At 34.7% G+C, this 21,777-nt stretch overlaps 1 protein-coding gene across 17 annotated transcripts in view; it reads left to right on the top strand.

The window, feature by feature from the left end:
- PDE1A (phosphodiesterase 1A) overlaps nt 1–21,777 on the top strand; it is a 576,757-nt gene that overhangs the window by 175,384 nt on the left and 379,596 nt on the right. For 6 of the 17 annotated variants that reach the window (XR_007076388.1, NM_005019.7, NM_001395263.1 and 3 more), the window contains exon 1: nt 18,888–19,138. Coding sequence is in view for 15 of the 17 variants with exons in the window: in NM_005019.7 (NP_005010.2) it covers nt 19,038–19,138 (101 nt within the window). In the remaining 2 variants the exon portion in view is untranslated. The other 11 variants (NM_001395261.2, NM_001395265.2, NM_001395262.1 and 8 more) reach the window with 6 other exon arrangements.

Below are 21,777 nucleotides of genomic sequence, written 5' to 3'. Positions count from 1 at the left end.
TGGAAAGTGGTAAGACTGGGAATAGATCTAAGCTTATCTTAATCTCTGTTGGCTTTTTATTTATAGATGAAGAAACTGGAATATAGAGAGCTTAAGTGTTTAGATCATTAGCAAGGAGTAGGGCCAGAACCTGAACCCAGTTCCTGTGAATCCAAATCCAGCACTGATTCTACTGCATCACCATGGTGTGCCAAAATTATTGTAAGGGTCTTTATAAATATAACTTTTTCATTTAAATCATGTGAGGTTAGTAGTGACTTTCAGTATGTTTAGATTAGATATTGTTGTATATGTTTTGAACTCTATCCTCTTACATATAAATATATCTTGTTTCTTTGATTTCTGATTTTGTAGCCAATCAGCCATCGTTCCTTTCTCGGATCTTTCCCTCCTTCCAAGATAATTGCTGCAATTATATTGGGGGTTTTAGCTAATGGTAATAGGGAAAGCAGTTGAGTTTTCTTGCATGGAATAAGCATAAATATACAATTAGGTAATGAATATTTAGTATTTTATGGAGCCTTTCAGTTGGGGGAGGTCCTATGCATGTATATTAACATACGGTAATACAAGTACATAGTCATGTATTTGTGTCAATGTGAATTAAGAGCAATATAAATAAATATGTATTTATGTTCATTATATTTATTAAAACTACATAAGTGAATTGAAAATTTTATACCAGTTTTCGACAAACTGTGTACATATGAAGAAAGGTAAAACTGTGTAAGTCAAGATCATATATAATTTTGAATGTAAAAAATATGGCTTTACTTAAATCAAGAAATAACTAACTTAAAAATTTTTAAATATAGAGAATTTGGTTAACTCAGACACTATTTGTTTTAAGAAGTAGTTATTCTACATCAGTGTGGCCAATTTAATAATTTGGCAAGATTTTAAAGTGGGAGAGGTTAGTCCCTTGCAAAATAGCTTCCCTTTTCTGTATCCCTTGTCTCCTTCATGCACTAAAGTGCTCATGACCTCTTCTGACTTCCTGCTGCTGCTGCTGCTGCTGCTGCTGCTGCTTTTTTTTTTTTTTTTTTTCTTTGAGACAGGGTGTCTCTCTGTTGCCCAGGCTGGAGTGCAGTGGTATGTCTCAGCTCATTGCACCCTCTGCCTCCTGGGCTCAAGCAATTCTCCTGCCTCAGGCTCCCGAGTAGCTGGGATTACAGGGGCCCACCACCATGCCCAGCTAATTTTTGTATTTTTAGTAGAGACGGTGTTTCACCATGTTGGCCAGGCTGGGTTCGAACTCCTGACCTCAAATGATCCGCCTGCCTCGGCCTCCCAAAGTGCTGAATTACACGTGTGAGCCACTGCACCCAGCCACTTCCTACTTCTTTCAATAAATGATTTGATGTCAGTAATTTATGCCTTTGTGGAACTTTAGGTCAATGTCTTATTTCTCCAAGAGTTATTTGCATTTTGATATTTCTAAGTAATGCTACAATAAAAAGCTTTCTTCTAAATATAATTTTAGTCATTATCAAGCAAGTGGGAGACATATTTGAAGGGAAAGAAATGACTTCCTGAGCATAGCTGAATGAACTTTACTCCATATCTGCATAAAACTGACAATGAAGTCAACAAATCATTTGATAGGTGTTTTTACAAGTGTTTATTAACAATGCATTTCATTGTCATTCAATGCCCATTGCACTGAAACTACAGTTAGGCTATTCATACTAAACTATAAGATATCCTTGGCACTAAATAATCTATAACATGTACAGTAGTGGAGTAACACAACGTTTTTTTCCTGGCAAAATGAAGACTTTCAGTATGGGATGTGATGTATATAACAAAATAAAATTATAGCTTTTTCTAGCTAACAAACAATGAACCAAATATTCCCATAGATAGCTTTAAGTTAGGATAGAAACTATTGGTTTTTATTCAATTGCTTTGAAAGCTAGTGGAGTTATGCTCACGAATGTTCCTTTTTGGGGTTGATATTCAGAACTTTGGTTTATAAATCCTGGGCTGTCTCTGAAAGCTCACTGTTTGTTCTAGGGACTCAAAATAAAACTAATAATGCAAGCCCACCACTTGACCTAGCAGCTAGTGGGAGGACAGGGAAAATCTTGAAAGCTCCCAAGGATTTGTGATGGCTCGAGAGCCTCTTTTGTTTATAATCTTTTATGATATGAATTTCACAGAATTTAAGTTTGATTCAGATAACTTGGAAATTTACTATGAGTAAAATAAACCATGTTTGTGAAACCCTATCTCTATGAAACCCTACCTGACTCTAAGTCAGGAAGGAATTTTGTATGTTGAAGGAATGGAAAAAAGGCCAGTGTGGCTGGACCAAATCAGTGGGAAAGAGAGTGTGGGGAAAAAGTCATACAGAAAGGTACTATTGACACATAAATCAGAGCTCAAAACCTTCAAGATCTTGCAAATGAGATCCTTTAAAGATAGTGTGGATGTGCTGGCAATTTCTAACACAATAGATTGATTTTGACATAATCTTAGGTATGGACCTGAGGTAGCAAAGGGCAGAGACATGAATGTTGGGTCAGGCCGTAACTCATTACTACTGTAGGCTTAATTCATATAATGTTGATGTTTGTTTTTACTGAATGAGTACTTTTTACCACTTAAAATCAAAATGAGTTTTACAAAATCTGACACCATATGTATTTGATTCACCCAATTTTAACAAATGTCATGGAATATAGTAGAGGAGTACTAGGCCTAAAATATTTCCAAAGATATTTAGATTTAAAAATCTCTATGAATATTTATTGAAGTTTTTCTCTTGTTTAGAATCTATTCATAAGATATTTACATAATTTTATAATTAAAAGTGAAATGTGTATAGTCAAACAAATGAAGATATTTTCCTTATATGGCATGAGGCTAATAAGAATATAGAGTCCAGCAAAAAAAAGCAAAAAAAATTGGAGAAAAAATAAACAATAAAATTCTCTAAATTAATGGTGCATGCCAATATCTTTTCATACCTTGTATTTCTTCCTTCTCATAATATCTACAGAAGATATTGTTGTTCATGCATTTATCTAGCAAATACTGGTAGAGCACTTACTTTATTTCAAACACTGTTCTATATTTCTGTACATGTATCAAAAAGCAAGAGAGGCACAGTCTCTCTTGCCATGGGAGTTTATATTTGAGAAGGAGCAACACACCATAAACAAGTAAAAACAGGGAAATGTGATTGGAAGTGTCACCTGATGTGGCCTGATATTTTAGGCTGGATAAACAGACCAAGGAATGTTTGGTTCAGCATCCATTTGAGGATATGAGGAGGCAGGTGCTGGCAGAGGGAAAAGTAGTCTCAAAGACCTAACTCCGGAAAGAGTTTTGTATGTTGAAGGCATAGAAAAAAGGCCAGTGTGGCTGGACCAAATCAGTGGGAAAGAGAGTGCAGGGGAAGAAGTCATACAGAAGGGTGCTTTTGACACATAAATCGGAGCTCAAAACCTTCAAGAGCTTCAGTCTTGAAGAGCTTCAATCTCTTGTTCAAAATCCTTCAAGAGCTTCCCATTACACCTAGAACAAAATTCCAGGACTTTTCAGGGGCCTCCAAGGCTCTGTATGACATGACTTCTCCCATCCACTCACCCACTTTTCTTCTGATTACTTCCTACCAGCAACACACCTTGCTGATTGTCTAATATGCCAAGTATCTCCAGCCTCAGGAAGTTTTTATTTGCTGCTCCCTCTGCTTGAAATTTTCTTTCCATGGATATATACAGGCCTTCTTAATTTTTCTTGTTCATTTTCATTTCTTTTTATTATACTTTAAGTTCTGGAATACACGTGCATAACGTGCAAGTTTGTTACATAGGTATACCCGTGCCATGGTGGTTTGCTGCACCCATCAACCTGTCATCTACATTAGGTATTTCTCCTAATGCTATCCCTCCCCTTGCCCCCAATCCCCCGACAGGTCCCAGTGTGTGATGTTCTCCTCCCTGTGTCCATATGTTCTCATTGTTCAACTCCCAGTTATGAGTGAGAACATGCGGTGTTTGGTTTTCTGCTCCTATGTTTGTTTTCTGTGAATAATGGTTTCCAGCTTCATCCATGTCCCTGCAAAGGACATGAACTCATTCTTTTTTATGACTACATAATATTCCATGGTGTATATGTGCCACATTTTCTTTCTCTGCTCAAATTTTAAAACCTTAGAGAAGCCTACATTCAATATCAATGTAAAATCTAACCTCCTCCTATCCCTCAATATTCCTTTACTCTGCTTCTTCCAGTTGGTATGGCTATGTAAGCAGTTACACCAAAGCTTAGTTGCTTAAAACAGCAATAACTATTATTTCTCACAGTTTCTGTGAGGTCAGGAATTTGAAAATGGTTCAACTAAGTGGTTCTGGCTCTGGGTGTTTTATGATATTGCATTCATGCAGCGGCTATGGCTGGGATCATCTCTTAGCCTTCACTTACATGTTTGGCACCTGGTCTGGGAAGACTAAAGAAGCTGGGGACTAGAACACGTGGGTCTCCTTAGTCATTTTTCTCTGTAGGGACTCTCCAGCATGGTGGCTTTAGGGTAATCAGAATTCTTCCGTGGTGGCTCAAGGCTCCAAAGGCAAATGTCCTGAGGGAGAGAGTTAGCCATGTAGAAGCCATACCACCATTTATGATCTAGTCTTGGAAAGTCAGTGAGTATCACTTCTGCTGCATTCTCTTAGTTGAGGGAATTACAAAAGTTAACCCAGCTTCAAGGGAGGAGGGGAATGTGACATTTTAAGAACATGTGTAATGGTATATATAAATATATTATCCATGTTTGGAAAATACAATCTTCCACATTCCTTTTTCTTTCTCCAGTGCAGACTTTGCTCTATTTATTTTCTGTTTTCATCACTAGAATATAAGCCCTATAAAGGCAAAGCTTTTATAGTCTTCTTTACTGCTGATCAATCAGGTTTTGCTACATAGGTCAATGATTGGCATATGGTAGGCACTCAACAATTTCTGCTATTGAATGAATAAATATTTCCTGAATTAATGATCTGTGAAACAATAGAAGTATTATGAAAACTAGTGTTTTAGAGATGAAAGAAAGTTTTATAATATTCCATAAACTGTTCCAGAAACACAATAAGAGGATAGAATATACTAAAATTTTCCTAAATGTGAATTGGTTTTTATGACATGTACCTAAGTAGAAAAAAGAAAGTACATGCTTCCTGTATAACATTTTGGAAAACTGTAGCTTTTTAACATCACACTTCCTGAGTTCTCAGTTGATACAAATCACAGAAGTTGAGAAGTGTGAGTTTAGATTGTAATCTGCTCATGTGCACAGATTATAACATTGTAAATACTGTGTCAGTCACAGCCATACAAATGCCATAATGTAGCTCATGCTATATCAGTGAAGATGAGCTGTGTGGTACAGTGACCCTACTCGCTATTTCGGACTGTTCACTTTAGCATGTTCAGTGTGCCTAAATTTATGCTTCTTTTAAGGCAGACTGTTTATAATAAGAAAGGAAAAAGTATTCCTTGGATCTTCAATGAAAGTGGCAATTTTCTAAAGCCAAGAAATGTTCATTTAAAACCCATTTTCCGTAATGCACAGTGTAGTGTTCTGTGACACAAACATGGGGATATGCATTAACGTTGCCCTCTTAATAATAGCCCTCAAGGACATGACAATCAGAGGAACAGAGAAATGGGTGATTTTTCATTCCAACTGAAAACAATCTAAATATTCACAGTTAGTAGAATGGTTGAGAAATTAATTATATACCCCCGTCAAATGTACATACATTTAAAAAGACTTCCCAAAAGAGAAAGCAAAAGATCATTTTTCACAGCTGACAGCAGGATTACCTAACTAAAACTCCAAGATAGTTAACTAAAAATTAAATTCAATAAGTTAATTGGATAGAAAATAATATAAAAATACCACTAGTTTTCTTATAAACAGCAATGATTAGAAGGCAGAATGGAAAAATACGAAAGCATAATAGCCATACAATATAAAATACTTAGGACTGATGACAAGATATAAAGGAATAAGTAAAAGACAAAGTATTTAAGAGTACAGGCTTTGGAATTAGACATGAGTTTTAAATCCTGACTCTGTCTTGTACTAGACAGGAGGTTAATCTCCTTGAGTTCACTATTCCTCATCTATAAAATGAATGTAATATTAATGTGAGATTAACAGATAATGTATGCCTGGAAAAAGCACTTCAAAATAGTATCTATTAAATGTAATTTAAAATGCATCAAAACCTTATTACTAAAACTGTAGGACTTACATAAAAATAGACTGATGGGGCAATGAAATAGTAGAGGTGCTTCAGGGACAAATACAGTACTTATATATAAAAAAATACTTTTGATAAGGGCCACAATTCAAACCAATGAAGGCAGCAGAAAAATTTTAGTAAATGGTTCTGGACCATCATTTAATCTTTGGAAAAAAATAGCTAGATGTGTGTTTTTTATTTAAACACAGGTAAATTTCATGTAAACTAGAGCATTAAGTAAACAAAATAAAGCTGCATGTAAATTAGAATAAAATTTGGGTCAATACGTGTTGGATATTGACTTTAGGAAAAACCTCTAAAGCAAAAGAGCAACAGCAGAAACAAAGAGACGAATTCAACAAATTTAACTACATAAAAAGTTAGGTGTAACATAAAAAATTCAATAAAAATTGAATTACAAATGATGAGAAAAAAGGTATTTGCATCATACATGATAGGCCAAAAATTAATATAAGTAATTAATATAAAATAATCTTTACAAATTAATAATAAATATTGTGATCCCTAGAAAAGAAAAAAAGATTAAAAATTGCAGCAGGTATTTTTTTTAAAGTGGTACAAAAATTCAAAAAATACATTAATTCTCATTAGTAATAAATTTAAAGACCTTTTGGCTTATCAAACTGGTAAGTAATTTGAAAGAAAAAATTTAATATCCATTATTAGTTAGCATCCTCTGAAACGTGAATGTTCAGACATTGCAGATTAGGAAATAAATTGGAGTAAATATTAAAGATCTTACATTAGATTTATAACCCTTGACCCAATATGTTTTCTATGCAAATTTGTTTTAAGAAATAGAGATGTGTAAAAGCACTGAGATGCAAAACTATTCATTAGAGAATTCTTTATAACAAAGGAAAATTGGAAAAAAAAACAGGGATTGGCTAAATCATGATACAACCAAATGATGGTATACTATGCAGCCATTAGATGTACAATTTTGAAGAGAAGTTAAGGGAATGGGAAACTGTGCATAATACAATTTTAAAAGGATAAAGGAGTATATACTTTTATATGCCTCTACATCATAATCTAATTTGTAGTTGTTATTTCCTCTCAGGGGTTATGAGTGACTTTCATTTTTTTACTTTGCATTTTTTGATACTGGTTCAAATTCTCTACAATAATATGTATTTTATATTTAGAAAAAAATATAAAATGTTGCCATTGATATCATATTAAATGAGTTAAACCATGAAATACACATGCAGATGGCCTCAATTATATAAATAAAGATATCTAGAAAAGTGCACAGAAAGAAAGAGTTTTACCTCTTCAATTATTTTCATTTTTATTTAATCTGGTGATCCAATCCATATCCATGGAGCTCAAATTTTGATACCTTGATCTATCAACATTAAACTTTATATGATGTCTCTATACCCTGAAAGACCAGAAATTTGTGGTCCTCTCCTCCTAATTTTTAAGTTGAATTATTTTTTGATATTCCATTGTAATTATTCTAATCAATTATACTTACACTTTTATATCTATTGATAATGATTCTAATCTATTAAACTTCTTTATCTGGATTTTTCAACTTCAAGTCTCTATATCTTGATTTTTCAACTTTAAACAGTATCATTTAATTTTCCATAATATGAGCTGAGAATGTCAGTAATCATAAACTTCCCTCCACTTCTCATCCTCATTTTTCTCCCATTATCTGGCAGCTATTCCATCACTTTTACTAAGATTCAGAAGATTATCAAATGGGAATTGATAATATTGTGATTATGTAAAAGTTATTGATATATCAATAGAACATACTGCATATTTGAAATCCATTGGAAAAAATGTAATTCTTTCTTCTTTGCTTTTTTCTGAGACAGGGTCTCGCTCTGTCACCCAGGCTGGAGTGCAGTGGTGTGATCTTGGCTCACTGCGCTCTCCACCCCACGGGTTCAGGTGATCCTCCCACCTCAGCCTGCCAAATAGCTGGAATTACAGGCATGCGCCACTACACCCAGCTAATTTTTGTATTTTAGTAGAGATGCGCTTTTGCCATGTTGGCCAGGCTTGTCTCCAACTCTTGACCTCAAATGATCCACCGGCTTTGGCCTCCCAAAGTGCTGGGTTTACAGGACTGAGCCGCGCCTGGCCTCTTCTTTGCTTTTTAACAACTTTATTGAGGTATAATTTACATAATACAAAATTCATTGTTTTTTTTTTTTTTTTTTTTTTTTTTTTGAGACGGAGTCTCGCTGTGTCCCCCAGGCTGGAGTGCAGTGGCGTGATCTTGACTCATTCCAAGCTCCGCCTCCCGGGGTTCACGCCATTCTGCCTCAGCCTCCCGAGTAGCTGGGACTACAGGCGCCCACCACCGCGCCCGTATAATTTTTTGTATTTTTGGTAGAGACGGGGTCTCACCGTCCTGTCGATCTCCTGACCTCGTGTCGATCCGCCCGCCTCGGCCTCCCAAAGTGCTGGGATTACAGGCGTGAGCCACTGTGCCTGGCAAATTCATTGATTTTTAAGTATATAATTCAAAGGTTTTTAGTAAACATACCAGGTGATGCAATTATCATCACAATTGAGTTTTAGAACAGTTTCACATTTTCATTACCCCAGTAAGATCCTTATGTCCATTTACAGTTAATCCCCTTTCCTAACCCCAGCCCCTGGAAACCACTAATCTACTTCATGACTCTCTAGATTTGCCTTTTCTGCATTTCATATAATCGGAATCATACAATATGTGATCTCTTGTGTCTGGCTTTTTATAATTTTAAAAAAGTTTTTTAAAAAATTTAAACATTCCTAAATTGACACAATGTACATATTTATTGGATACATAGTGATGTTGTGATGCATAGAGTGTGTACTCTACATCAGGGTAATTAGCATATCCATTATGTCAAACATTGATCCTTTCTTTGTATTGGGTATATTTAATATCCTTCTTCTAGCTCTTTGAAACTATGCAATACATTATTGTTGATTATAGTCATCCTACAGCGTTATAGAACACTAGAATTTATTTCTTCCAAGTATACATTTGTATCCTTTAAAAAAATTTTTTTTACCAAAATGGTGTTAAGATTTATACATGTTGTAGTACACATCAGTATTCAATACCTTTTTACTGCAGCCACAAAAAAGAATGAGTTCATGTCCTTTGCAGGGACATGGATGAAGCTGGAAACCATTATTTTTAGCAAACTGTCACAAGAACAGAAAACCAAATACAACATGTTCTCACTCATAGGTGGGAGTTGAACAATGCAACACATGGACACAGGGCGGGGAACATTACACACCGGGGCCTGTAGGTGGGTGGGAGCCTGGGGGAGGGATAGTATTAGGAGATATACCTAATGTAAATGATGAGTTGATGGGTGCAGCAAACCAATATGGCACATGTTTACCTATGTAACAAACCTGCACATTGTGCACATGTACTCTAGAGCTTAAAGTATATTAAAAAACCCACAAATATTAGATTATATGACTATAATGTGAACTTGTTTGCTTCTCCTTATAGAAGAAAATACGTGAACAATACATGAAAATCTTGTAGAATACATGAAATCTCTTCTATGTATTATTTTTGCTTTATGTGTTTGGAAACTCGATTTTTATGTGCATAAACATTTGGGATTTTTATATCTTCTTAATGAACTTAAACTCTTTATCTTTAGGCTATGCCCTTTTTATTTCTTTTAATAATTTTTGCTTTAAAATCTACATTTTCTGATATTCCTATCATGACTCCAGTGTTCATTTGGTTAGTATTATTATGGTATTTTTTTTTTTTACTACCTTTTTACTTTTAATCCATTTGAGCTTTTACATTTGAAGTGCTTTTCTTATAGACCAGCATTTAGATCATTTACATTTAATGTAATTATTGACATGTTAGGATTTAAGTCTTGATTTTTTGCTTTCTTGTTTTTTCTTCTGTTTTTTGTTTCTGTTTTCTTTCTTTTGTCTTCCTATCGGTTACTTGAGCACTTTTTTTTTAGAATTTTATTTTGATTCATCTATATCTGTATTTTTAAGTGTATTTGTTTAAATAGCTATTTTTGATAGTTCCTTTTGATATCACTATCTATGCATAGCTTATAAAAATCTACTGATATGTCATTATTTTATCAGTTTGAGAGAAGTATAGAACTCTCACCTCATTTATGTCCCTTTACTCTCTCCCATTTATAATAATTTTATATATTCCACTGTATACACTTAGAACCATATCAGATGATATAATTATTGCTTCAACTTTTAAACAATTTATAAAACTCAAGAGGATGAAGAAAGGCTATGATATTTACCTGCATTTTTGCTTACTGTGCTTTTTGTTTTTTCCTGATGTTTCAAGTTTCATTTTATTATTTTCTTTCTGTTTGGACAATTTCCTTTAGCTATTGTTTTAAAGAAGGTATTTTGGTGACACATTCTTTTAGTTTTTCTTTATCTGTTATTGTCTTAGTTTTACCTTCATTTCTGAAGAATATTTTCACTGAATATGGATTTCAAATTTGACAGATCTTTTCTTGTAGTACTTGAAAAAAGCTGTGCCACATCTTTCTGCCCTCTATGGTTTCTGATGACAAATCCATTGTCACTGTAAATGTTTTTTCTCTATAGGTAAGAATTTTTCTCTCACTGCTTTCAAGATTTTTTCCTCATCTTTAGTTTTCAGAATCTTCACTACAATATGTCTTGATGTGGATTTCTTTGGGTTTACCCTATTTGAGATCCATTCATCCTGAGTCTCTAGGTGTATGTCTCTTGCCAAATTTGGAAGGCTTTTATTTATTATTTCTTTGAGTTTTCCCACCCCCCTGCTTTTCATCTGGCATCTTTTCATCTGGCATCCCATTACCTTCACTGTGGTTTAAAATTTCTCTCAAAGTTGCTAATCTGGGGCAACTATACAGTTTATTCTGTTTGTTTCTCATAAGGATACTGTCTCTTGTTGCCTGATGGCTAATGGCTTGAAAACAATATATTTTGTCTGCTTTCTGGCTAATTTAGATGGTCCTCATTACTCAATCTTGTTTAGAAGCAGAAGCCTGAATTTCTTTTTAGTAAGAGTTTGCAATGTGTTTTGCTTCCTGAATTTGAATTTTCTTGTTTTCCACTGATTCTGGAATCGTCTTAATTGCTTCCTTTTCATATTTTTCTGCTTCTGTATTCAATCTATTTTACACTTCTGAAAATCCAAAGAGATTGTGTTAGTTCATTTTCATGCTGCTGATAAAGACATACCGAGGCTGGGTAATTTATGAAGGAAAAGAGGTTTAATGGACTCACAGTTCCACATGGTTAGGGAGGCCTCACAATCATGGTGGAAATCAAGTCACATCTTATATGGTGGCAGACAAGAGAGAATGAGAGCCAAGTGAAAGGCTTATAAAACCATCAGATCTCTTGAGACTTATTCACTACCATGAAGACAGTATGGGGAAATCAGCTCCCATGATTCAATTATCTCCCAGTGGTCCTCCCCACAACATGTGGGAATTATGGGAGCTACAATTCAAAATGAGATTTGGGTGGAGACACACATATCATTCCGCTCCTGGCCCCCTCCCAAACCTCGTGGTCTCACTTTTCAAAATCAATCATGCCTTCTCAACAGTCCCCCAAAGTATTAACTCATTTCAGCATTAACTCAAAAGTCCACAGTCCAAAGTCTCATCTGAGACAAGGCAAGTCCCTTCTGCCTATGAGTCTGTAAAATAAAAGGCAAGCTAGTTACTTTCTAGATATGATGGGGGTATGGGCATTGGGTAAATATAACTGTTCCAAATGGGAGAAATTGGCCAAAACAAAAGGGCTACAGGCCCTATCAAGTTCGAAATCCAGTGGGACAGTCAAATCTTAAAGCTCCAAAATGATCTCCTTTGACTCCATGTCTCACATACAGGTCATATTGATGCAAAAGGTAGGTTCCCATGGTCTTTGGCAGCTCTGCCCCTGTGGCTCTGCAGGTTATAGCCTCCCTCCCAGCTGCTTTCATGCACTGGCATTGAGAGTCTGTGGTACCTATCCACGTGCACGGTGCAAGCTGTTTGTAGATCTGCTATTCTGGGGTCTGGAGGACGGTGGCCCTCTTCTCACAGCTCCACTAGGTAGTATCCAAGTGGGGACTCTGTGTGGAGGCTTCAACCCCACATTTCCCTTCCATACTGCCCAAGCAGAGGTTCTCCATGAGGGCCCCACCCCAGCAGCAAACTTCTGTTTGGACATCCAGATATTTCCATACATCCTCTGAAATCTAGGTGAAGGTTCCCAAACCTCAATTCTTGATTTCTGTGCACTTGTAGGCTCAACACCACCTGGAAGCTGCCAAGGCTTGGGGCTTGCACCCTCTGAAGCCATGGCCTGAGCTGTACCTTGGCCCCTTTTAGCCATGGCTGGACTGGCTGGGATACAGGGCACGAAATCCCTAGGCTGTACACAGCACGGGAGCCTTGGGCCTGGCCCACAAAAACATTTTTCCTCCTAGACCTCCAGGCTTGTGATGGGAGGGGCTGCCACAAAGGTCTCTGACATACTGTGGAGGCATTTCCCCCATTGTCTTGGTGATTATCATTTGGCTCCTCATTACTTATGCAAATTTCTGTAGCCGGCTTGAGTTTCTTCTCAGAAAATGTGCTTTTCCTTTCTATCACATCCTCAGGCTGCAAATATTCCAAACTTTTATGCTCTGTTTCCCTTTTAAAACTGAATGCTTTTAACAGTACCCAAGTCACTTCTTGACTGCTTTGCTGCTTAGGCATTTCTTCTGTTAAATACCCTACCTCATCTCCCTCAATTTCCAAATTCCACAAATCTCTAGGGCAGGGGCAAAGTGCCACCAGTCTCTTTGCTAAAACATAGCAAGAGTCACCTTTACTGCAGTTCCGAACAAGTTCCTCATCTCTATTTGAGACCACCTCAGCCTGGATTTCATTGTTCATATCACTATCAGCATTTTGGTCAAAGCCATTTAACAAGTCTCTAGAAAGTTCCAAACTTTCCCACCTTTTCCTGTCTTCTTCTGAGCTCTCCAAATTGTTCCAACCTCTGCTTGTTACCCAGTTCCAAAGTTGCTTTCACTTTTTGAGTATCTTTACAGCAGTGCCCCACTCTACTGGTACCAATTTACTGTATTAGTCCATTTTCATGCTGCTGATGAAGACATACCTGAGACTGGGTAATTTATAAAGAAAAAGCGGTTTAATGGACTCACAGTTCCACATGGCTGGGGAGGCCTTACAATCGTGGTGGAAGGCGAAAGTCACATCTTACATGGTGGCAGACGAGAGAATGAGAGCCAAGCAAAAGGCTTACAAAACTATGAGATCTCATGAGACTTATTCACTACAACAAAAACAGTGTAAGGGAAACCACCCCTATGATTCAATTATCTCCCACCAGGTTCCTCCCACAACACATGGGAATTATGGGAGCTACAATTCAAAATGAGATTTGGATGGGAACACAGCCAAACCATATTAGACATGTACATTAGGAACTTTTTTTGTCTTTCTTGACGTCTAAGTTATTTTTTCATAATCTCACTTCTGTGTCTATCTGTACATTTTGGGCAATTTCTTCAGATTTTTCTTTTCTTTTTTTCTTTTTTTGACATGGGGTCTCTCTGTCACCCATGCTGGAGTGCAGTGGCATGAACAAGGCTCACTGCAGCCTCAACTTCCTGGGCTCAAGTGATCCTCCCACCTCAGCCCCCCAAGTAGCAGGGACTACAGGCACACACTACCATGCCTGGCTTTTTTGTGTATATATATGTGTGTATATATATATGTGTATATATATATATATATATATATATATATATATATATATATATATATTTTTTTTTTTTTTTTTTTTTTTTTATAGAGAAAGGGTTTCACCATATTGTCCAGGCTAATCTTGAACTGCTGAGCTGAAGTGATCTGCCTGCTTTGGCCTCCCAAAGTGCTGGGTTTATGGGCATGACTCATGGCTCCCAGCCTCTTCATATTTTTCTTATTAGCTAATTCTCTTTCTGTTCTTACCTTGTACATTGAATATGTAATTTCAATGGTTCTTTTTTAATTAAAAAAATTCTTTTTACTTCCTTTTCCTGAATGGTCCTTTAAAAAAATAGAATATCTTTTATTGGTCATGTTTTGACCAATAATTTTTTCTATTTATTTAAAATTTAAACATTGTTATAACTTATTAGGTAATTACAATACCTGAAAAAAGAAAAAAAAGTAACTAATGAGAAAAATCAGAAACATAGCAACAGATATTCATAAACAAATGAGGGTGTGGTTCTATTAGTTTTTGTCTAGTGACTCTTACTAGTGATGACTTGATTAACTATGTGTTTTATAATTTTGAATTGTAAGCTCATATTTGACTAGATTTATCTGTAAGAATTTTAAGAGGTGTGTTTCAGGATTCATTCCTCCAAAGAAATTTGCTTTCCTTATTCTAGGTAACCTTGGATGCCACTAACCCAAGATCATTTTAAGTTTTGCTGTTTCTCAGACAAAGCTGGTAGTTTAAGTTTAATCAAACTCATAGATGGCAGTTCCATTGTTAAAATCTATCAAAGAATGCTTTTATTTTGTTTTTCCTCTCCTAGAGACTAAGCTGAGAGAGAACATTTTTTCAGGTATCTCTTGGCCACACTTAACGCTTTCTTGTCCACAAATTGACTACATGGGTAGCCTTTTATGGTTTCTATCTTTCTGGGAGGACCTTGGTTTCAAGTCTTCATACTGTACAGACCCAAACCCTTATTTTCTGTTTCCTATATACTGATTATAATACAAGGCTGTAGATTACTATGTTTGATAAATGTCCTTACAATTCTAATTTTTTTGTCCCTGTTCATTTTGGACTTCATTTTATATAGGTTCAGTTATGCATTCAAAATAATATTTATTGGAATTTTTCCAATATTTGAAAATTATTTTTGGTCTGGAAGTTTTAAGAGTACCTTAGTCTGCGATATTGTTCAGAAATTAAGATATTTTCTAAATTATTTTCTTGTCAGTGAAAACATAATGTACTTTTATTATCAATAAAACAGTATTTTGTTTTTAAATATTCTTGATGAATTTAATCCACTTTTTCTTGAAGCCATATTTTTGATCCCTATGATTTCTTGTTCTCACCTGAATTGATTTCTTCCTAGCCCTTCTTCACAGATGCTAACTTGGGATTTTGTTTATGATTTTCCATTGCTATGTTTCTGATTTTTCTCATTAATTACTTTTTTTTCTTTTTTCAGGTATATTAACTCATGTAATTATTTTTAACGAGTATTTGAATGGTATGCTTTCTGAATTTGGTGTTCTGAATGTGTCATCATTTATCTTTGTCATTGAGTGATGGCTTACTGGCTAAAGAATTAAAATTATTTTCTTTACCATTTGTTACATGGTGCCAATGTATTAGTCATTCTTACATTGCTATAAAGAAATATCTGAGACTGGGTAACTTATAAAGAAAAGAGGTTTAATTGGCTCATGGTTCTGCAGGCTGTAAAGGAAGCATAGCTGCTTCTGGGGAGGCCTCAGGAAACTTTCAATCTTGGCGGAAGGTGAAGGAGAAGCAGGCACATCTTACATGACCACAGCAGGAGGATGGTGCTAAACCACTAGAAATCACCCCCATGATCCAATCACCTCCCACCAGGCCCCACCTCTAGAACTGGGGCTTATATTTTAACATGAGATTTGAGTGGGCACAGATCCAAACTACATCAGCCAATATAACCTTAATACGAAAACCAATAAACCTAGTGACACAAATACTTAGAACAATTTTGCTTATAAATAAGGATGTAGTTTCTAAACAAAAGGAACACCAGCAATGCATAAAAACAATGATTACAAATGATTTGGGAAATAATTGTCACTAAAATCTATTGAATAATTACACTATAATGAAAAGGAAAAAAATCAAGTAATATTATCAATAATAATAAGAACTAATAATTATTAAGCAATTATTATGTGCCAGATAACTGTTTTAATTTCTTTACTTGTATTAACTCATTCAGTGCATGAACACTATGAGGAGATGTTATTATTATGCTCATTTTATACATGAAGAAACAGACAAAAATTGTAACTTGTAAAAAATCACATAATTCTTTCAGTGAAAGAATAAGGATTCAAACCCAGGTAGTCTAGATTTAGAGTATATGTTATATTACATTTTGGCAATAGTAGATACTAAATTCATTCTATACATTTTTGTCACCATTCCTAATAAAATATTAGGTAAACAGGAATGAAGGAACTACTTGTTCTAATAGAGATAATTTACCTGACTGTAGAGTTAAAGCAAAATAAATGGAAACTATGAGAAATGAGGGACATACAAATTGGATCATTTTTTACTGTATTTTTATGACTATTTTCTCAATTTTCCCTTGCAGAACTTATATTGAATTTTTTTGTAAACTAACAAAGAAAAATGATTTGAATTCTCTATGTTAACAGAAGTAACTTTTTGATACTTCCTAAGGATGAAGATTATCTTGGTCAAGGATTTAAATAATAAGCTATTTTATCTAGTTTATTATTCAAAATTTTATTTTATGAAACATTTAATGAAATGATTAAGGATTTTTTTCTAGTAAGTGACCGAATTAGTATACCTTGAGGTCTTAAATATCAATGTGTGATAGAAGTTACATAGTGAAAGCAAAGGGCAAATGAATTGTAGTATTGAAACAAGATTCTTAGACATATACTTAAGTAGAATAGTTCTCATTCTTTATTTACTTTGCAATGTTATTGGTAAGCTGGTCAATGTGAGGTCTTGACATTTCATGTCATATTTAGAAAATCATCTGTATAGCCTCAAGGACTTAGGTATCTTGATTCATAAAATAATAATTATAGAGTACTTGCTATCTATGGAGATTTTTGGCTGCAATATTTCTTTGAAAGCAGAACATAGATGTTTGTTGACTGTTTCATTAAAGAAATATCAGGTAACAGTTTATTACATGAATATAGCTAAGATTACAAATGAAGGCACAGTGAGGGTAAAATTGGTACTTTCAGGGCAAAGATTCACTTATTTCTGACAACTCTGGTAAATGCTTATAGGAATGAAGTTTTAATTTCACAAAGCTGTCTGCTAGCTAAAGACATTACATTCAGATTGAATTCTGGAAATATCTTGTCTGAGAAAGGAAAATGGAAGCCTCACTTGATTTACCCTCTTATAATTTGCAAATCAGAAGCCATTTTCTATAACATTTTGCAAAGGTCCTTTTTACGTACACATTATAACTGACTACTAGATAGCATCAGTGTCATTTGTATAGACATAGTAATTTTACATTGGAAGACTAATTGTTAATAATAGTTCCCATTTTTAAGAATTAGCTTTAAATCTGGAGAATGTCTCTGTTTCTCAGTTTTCTCAACTGTTGAACAGGAGTATTGCCTATCTCACAGGCATCTTGTAAGAATTTAAAAAGGTAATATGTAATAGGTACTGAGAACATTGTCTGAAACATCAGAAATATTCAACAAATATTGGATGTTATTACCAATCTTTGAATGTCTCTACCTTAAAACTCATAGTAACAGGCAAGTTTTCTTGCAAGAAGAAATAAAACTACATCTGGGTTTTCAAACAAACAAGAAGAAATATTGTTTATAAGTATATTTTCTATAGCAGCTTGCAGATAGCAAGAGCTGTTATGGTGCTCATACTTAAGGTCTGTGCTTGTTTCAAAGAAAGCTCGCCATGTGTTAGGAGCTTGGCAGACGACTCAGTTCTGATTCCTTTTATGTCCACTCTCTCTCATTTCTCTTCTAAAATGCACAAGCCGCAAACCATCAGTTTCTCTCTTGTCCCTCTCTCCCTTTCTCCTTCTCTCTCTCATAAACACACACACACAAATCTATTCCCTTTTCCTTCAAAAAACACACACACACACAAGTGCATTTACACTAGTTTCATTTTATTTATTTTTTAATCCCCAAAGGATTCATAGAGCAGGCTGTGTGCAGCTGCCGTATTTTCCACTGGTTAAATTGGCAGTTACCTACTGTGTGGAGTTGCTAGGAGAAGGTGAATAAGCATGCTTACAGCATCAGTTGATGTACATATTCTTGCAATAACAACCTGTGGAGCTGTGTTCTTCTGTATGGCTTTAGATGTTATTTTCTCTTTGTTATCATTAATATTTGTTGCATTTATTGTTAGATGATGATACATTTTTAAGTGTTAGTTTCAGATCAATTTAGAGAAAAAAACCTTGGCATTTAAACAGGCACTTTTTTTTCTCATGGTGGTGCTGCTGATACTGGCTCCTACCATCTGTTTCCTTATTACATCCTGCCCTTGTTCTGTTGGTAGAGAGGAATTCAGCTTCTTCTGGAGCGCGAAAGTCATTCACGTTTCTCTTGTGCATAATAGAGCTCGTAAACTGTAGGAATTCTGATGTGCTTCAGTGCACAGAACAGTAACAGATGAGCTGCTTTTGGGGAGAGCTTGAGTACTCAGTCGGTCAGTAGTACAGTAGCAGGCTCACATGTACGGATTGTTCTTGTGAGGTCAGAGCATCTGTTTATACTGCTGTCTGCTTAGGGGGGTGGTGAGGTGGTGAGCAGTGGATATATGCCTGTCAAAGTCAATAGCAAATCTGTCAGAGTCTTCCCTCAGCTTTGTACATCAGCACTGTTTTGATAGATAAGAGAGGCTACTGTATAAGTGTGTAAGATTTGTAATGGACTGAGGAATGCTTGTTCTAGCTGCTGAAACTGACTGTAACTGTATTGTCTTAGGAGCATCATCATGGGGTCTAGTGCCACAGAGATTGAAGAATTGGAAAACACCACTTTTAAGTATCTTACAGGAGAACAGACTGAAAAAATGTGGCAGCGCCTGAAAGGAATGTGAGTATGCTCTTTGCTTTTTATTTCCCCCCAAAAGATTTGACTATTAACGTGACTAATTGTTGGTGCTATCCGCCTTTGTGGGCTAGTTTCCTTTAGAAAGATTTTCTCTCGAAAAATAAAATGTGCCTACCTCAGCTAACAACTTGTTGAAAGACGAATGATTTTTTGTACTTGCACATGTTATTAAAGTAAGGTAACTTCTGGAGAAGTCACTTTACTGTCATATTACATGGTTTCTTTTACGCATTCTGTATGTGCTGTTTAGATATGTGGTTCAGATATGCAGAAAGGTAACTAAGAAAGCCATTTGCCGGGATACTGCCACAAATAAAATTTCCCTCAGGTAAGCAGAGAGAGAAATAAGACTGATACTTCTTTCTCTGTGATTAGATTTGGAAAAGCAATGAGATGATTAATATGATAATAAATAATTATACTTTATTGTGCTTCTTTTTGCTTAAATGATATTTCTATAAGAAAAAATGTTTACGTGATAAAAATATTAACAGCATATCAAACTTATTGGAGAGTTTTGGCTTTAAATTAACCAGTTCACAGTTCACTTCTCCTGAGAGTACAGAATAGTCCATAGTACATAATAGCCCTTAGTAAAATGGGTCAAGAATTATGCATTATGTCAAACATGGGATGTAATTACCTAAGTCAGACGTTAATTGCAATGCTATTCAGCTTGATATTTACACCCTTACATTTTTTTTAGCTGTGTGTGCTACTAGTTCCTGTTTAGTGTTTCAGCACCACACTGTTTGTATGCTTTATCTTAATTGTCATAATTTAAAAATCAGATTTAACATTTGGATAAAAATGAGAAATATGAATATGAATTTTACAGGCCGTTGTAATTGCTTAGTATATTTGCAGATCTCAAATGAAAATATTAATATATTTGCTTTTCTATAATAACAGCTGAAAGAATCCTACACTATGCAAAATAGAGATTTTCTAAGATTTATATCTCTAATGCTGTATTTACACACTATTTTTAAAAATTCAGTACCTGAGTAAATTTGATGTCCCTGTTTGATATTTTTTTAAAGAAAATTACATCAAACTTTGTTTAGAGGTAAAAATTCCTTCTGCTTTCCTCCATTTGATTGTATTTAATGATGTTTGTGTATTTAAATATTGTTCTTTGTATATTTTCTTACTTCTTGAAGTAATACATGGCTTTACAGTGCATTAGTGTAAGAGCACAATAATGCAAAGAACATATAGCAGAGAATAACTTTCAAAAAGGAAGCCATCTTTACATTATTTGGATGAGCTAGAAATCTGTTTCTAAGATCCATTGAAGATTTAGAAATTACAGCTTTTTGGTGAGGTTGTTCTCTAGCGGAACAAGTAATCCTATCAAAGCAAATAACAGCTCTCAAAATTAATTAGCATAGATGCAAATTAAACATTAGCAGTCAGCAGATGATTTGTGTTTTAGCCTAATGAGTGGATGAACATCAGTACCGGGAAAATTATGTCTCTCATTACAACCTATTTTAGATTTTCTTCTCCTTAGAAGGATGTTTTGCTTATTTTGTTTTGTTTGCATTTTTCTAGTTTCCTGTAGTTACTTGAATGTATGAAGATGTATGCTGGTGGATTTATGCATATGTCTTTAAGAAATTTGAAAAGTGATTTTGTGTTTATTTGATACTTTAGGGCAAAGTTACTGACTCACTGTATCAGTTGGTCTCAGAGATCAATCTGTCATTTTATTTCAGAAAAGGGTGATAGAGTCATCCAACAGTAGATCTTCATGAATTGATAGAAGGATATATGAAAATATGTACATGCAAAATTAATTTTGAGTTGTGTTTATTTAGAGCCACTAAATAATCATTAACCAAGTTTCTTTCTTTCTTTCTTTTAAAAATCATTATCTAACTGACTAAAATGACTGCTTTTTCATTGAATAAAGAAGAAATTGCATTTTGGTACTATCACTTTAACTTGTACTTTGACTTAGTACATTTTCAGTGTTCAAGGCTTAGAATTGTCAAAGCGAGAAACTCTAAATCTAAAATCTGCATGACTAATGACAACCAAATTGTTTAATTATGGTCTTTTGTATAGTTTGCATTCAGAGCAGTGATATGAGGGACTCCCTATTCCATTGCTGATATTGTCTTGTCTATTTAAAATGCAATATTGATTCAAACAGAATTTTAGCTTATCAAAATTGCTGGTACTAGAATTCTACACTTAAGTTTTGGCAATTAAAATCATGCTACTCATTAAACCTATCAAACAATTGTGCAATAGTTTTCTTATTTTTGCTAAAATAGACTAAAGACCTTTAGATATTTGTTTAGAAAGTGATTTTTAAAATCTTGTACTTTATAAATATATTGACTTATTTTGGCATAATATACTGTTTTTAATTGAGCTTCCAGTATGTAAATTTTAAGGTTAAATAAAAATAGAGACAAAGGTGAAAGTAAAATAATGTTTATTCAATTATGCCTTAAATGTAGAAATCATGAACCATTACAGGTAGATATTTAGAGAAAATATCTTATAGGGATTGTTATATGACATAACATTTTAGAGAGTCTTTTGAGTCCATAGAAATAATTTTTAAATTTTGGAACACGTGGAAAACATTGGTAACTAAATTAAAA

The sequence above is a fragment of the Homo sapiens genome, chromosome 2, assembly GCF_000001405.40.
Source record: "Homo sapiens chromosome 2, GRCh38.p14 Primary Assembly".
In the NCBI taxonomy this organism is placed as follows: domain Eukaryota; kingdom Metazoa; phylum Chordata; class Mammalia; order Primates; family Hominidae; genus Homo; species Homo sapiens.
The sequence above is the reverse complement of the archived record's forward strand: the minus strand, read 5'-3'. Positions and strand labels throughout refer to the sequence as shown.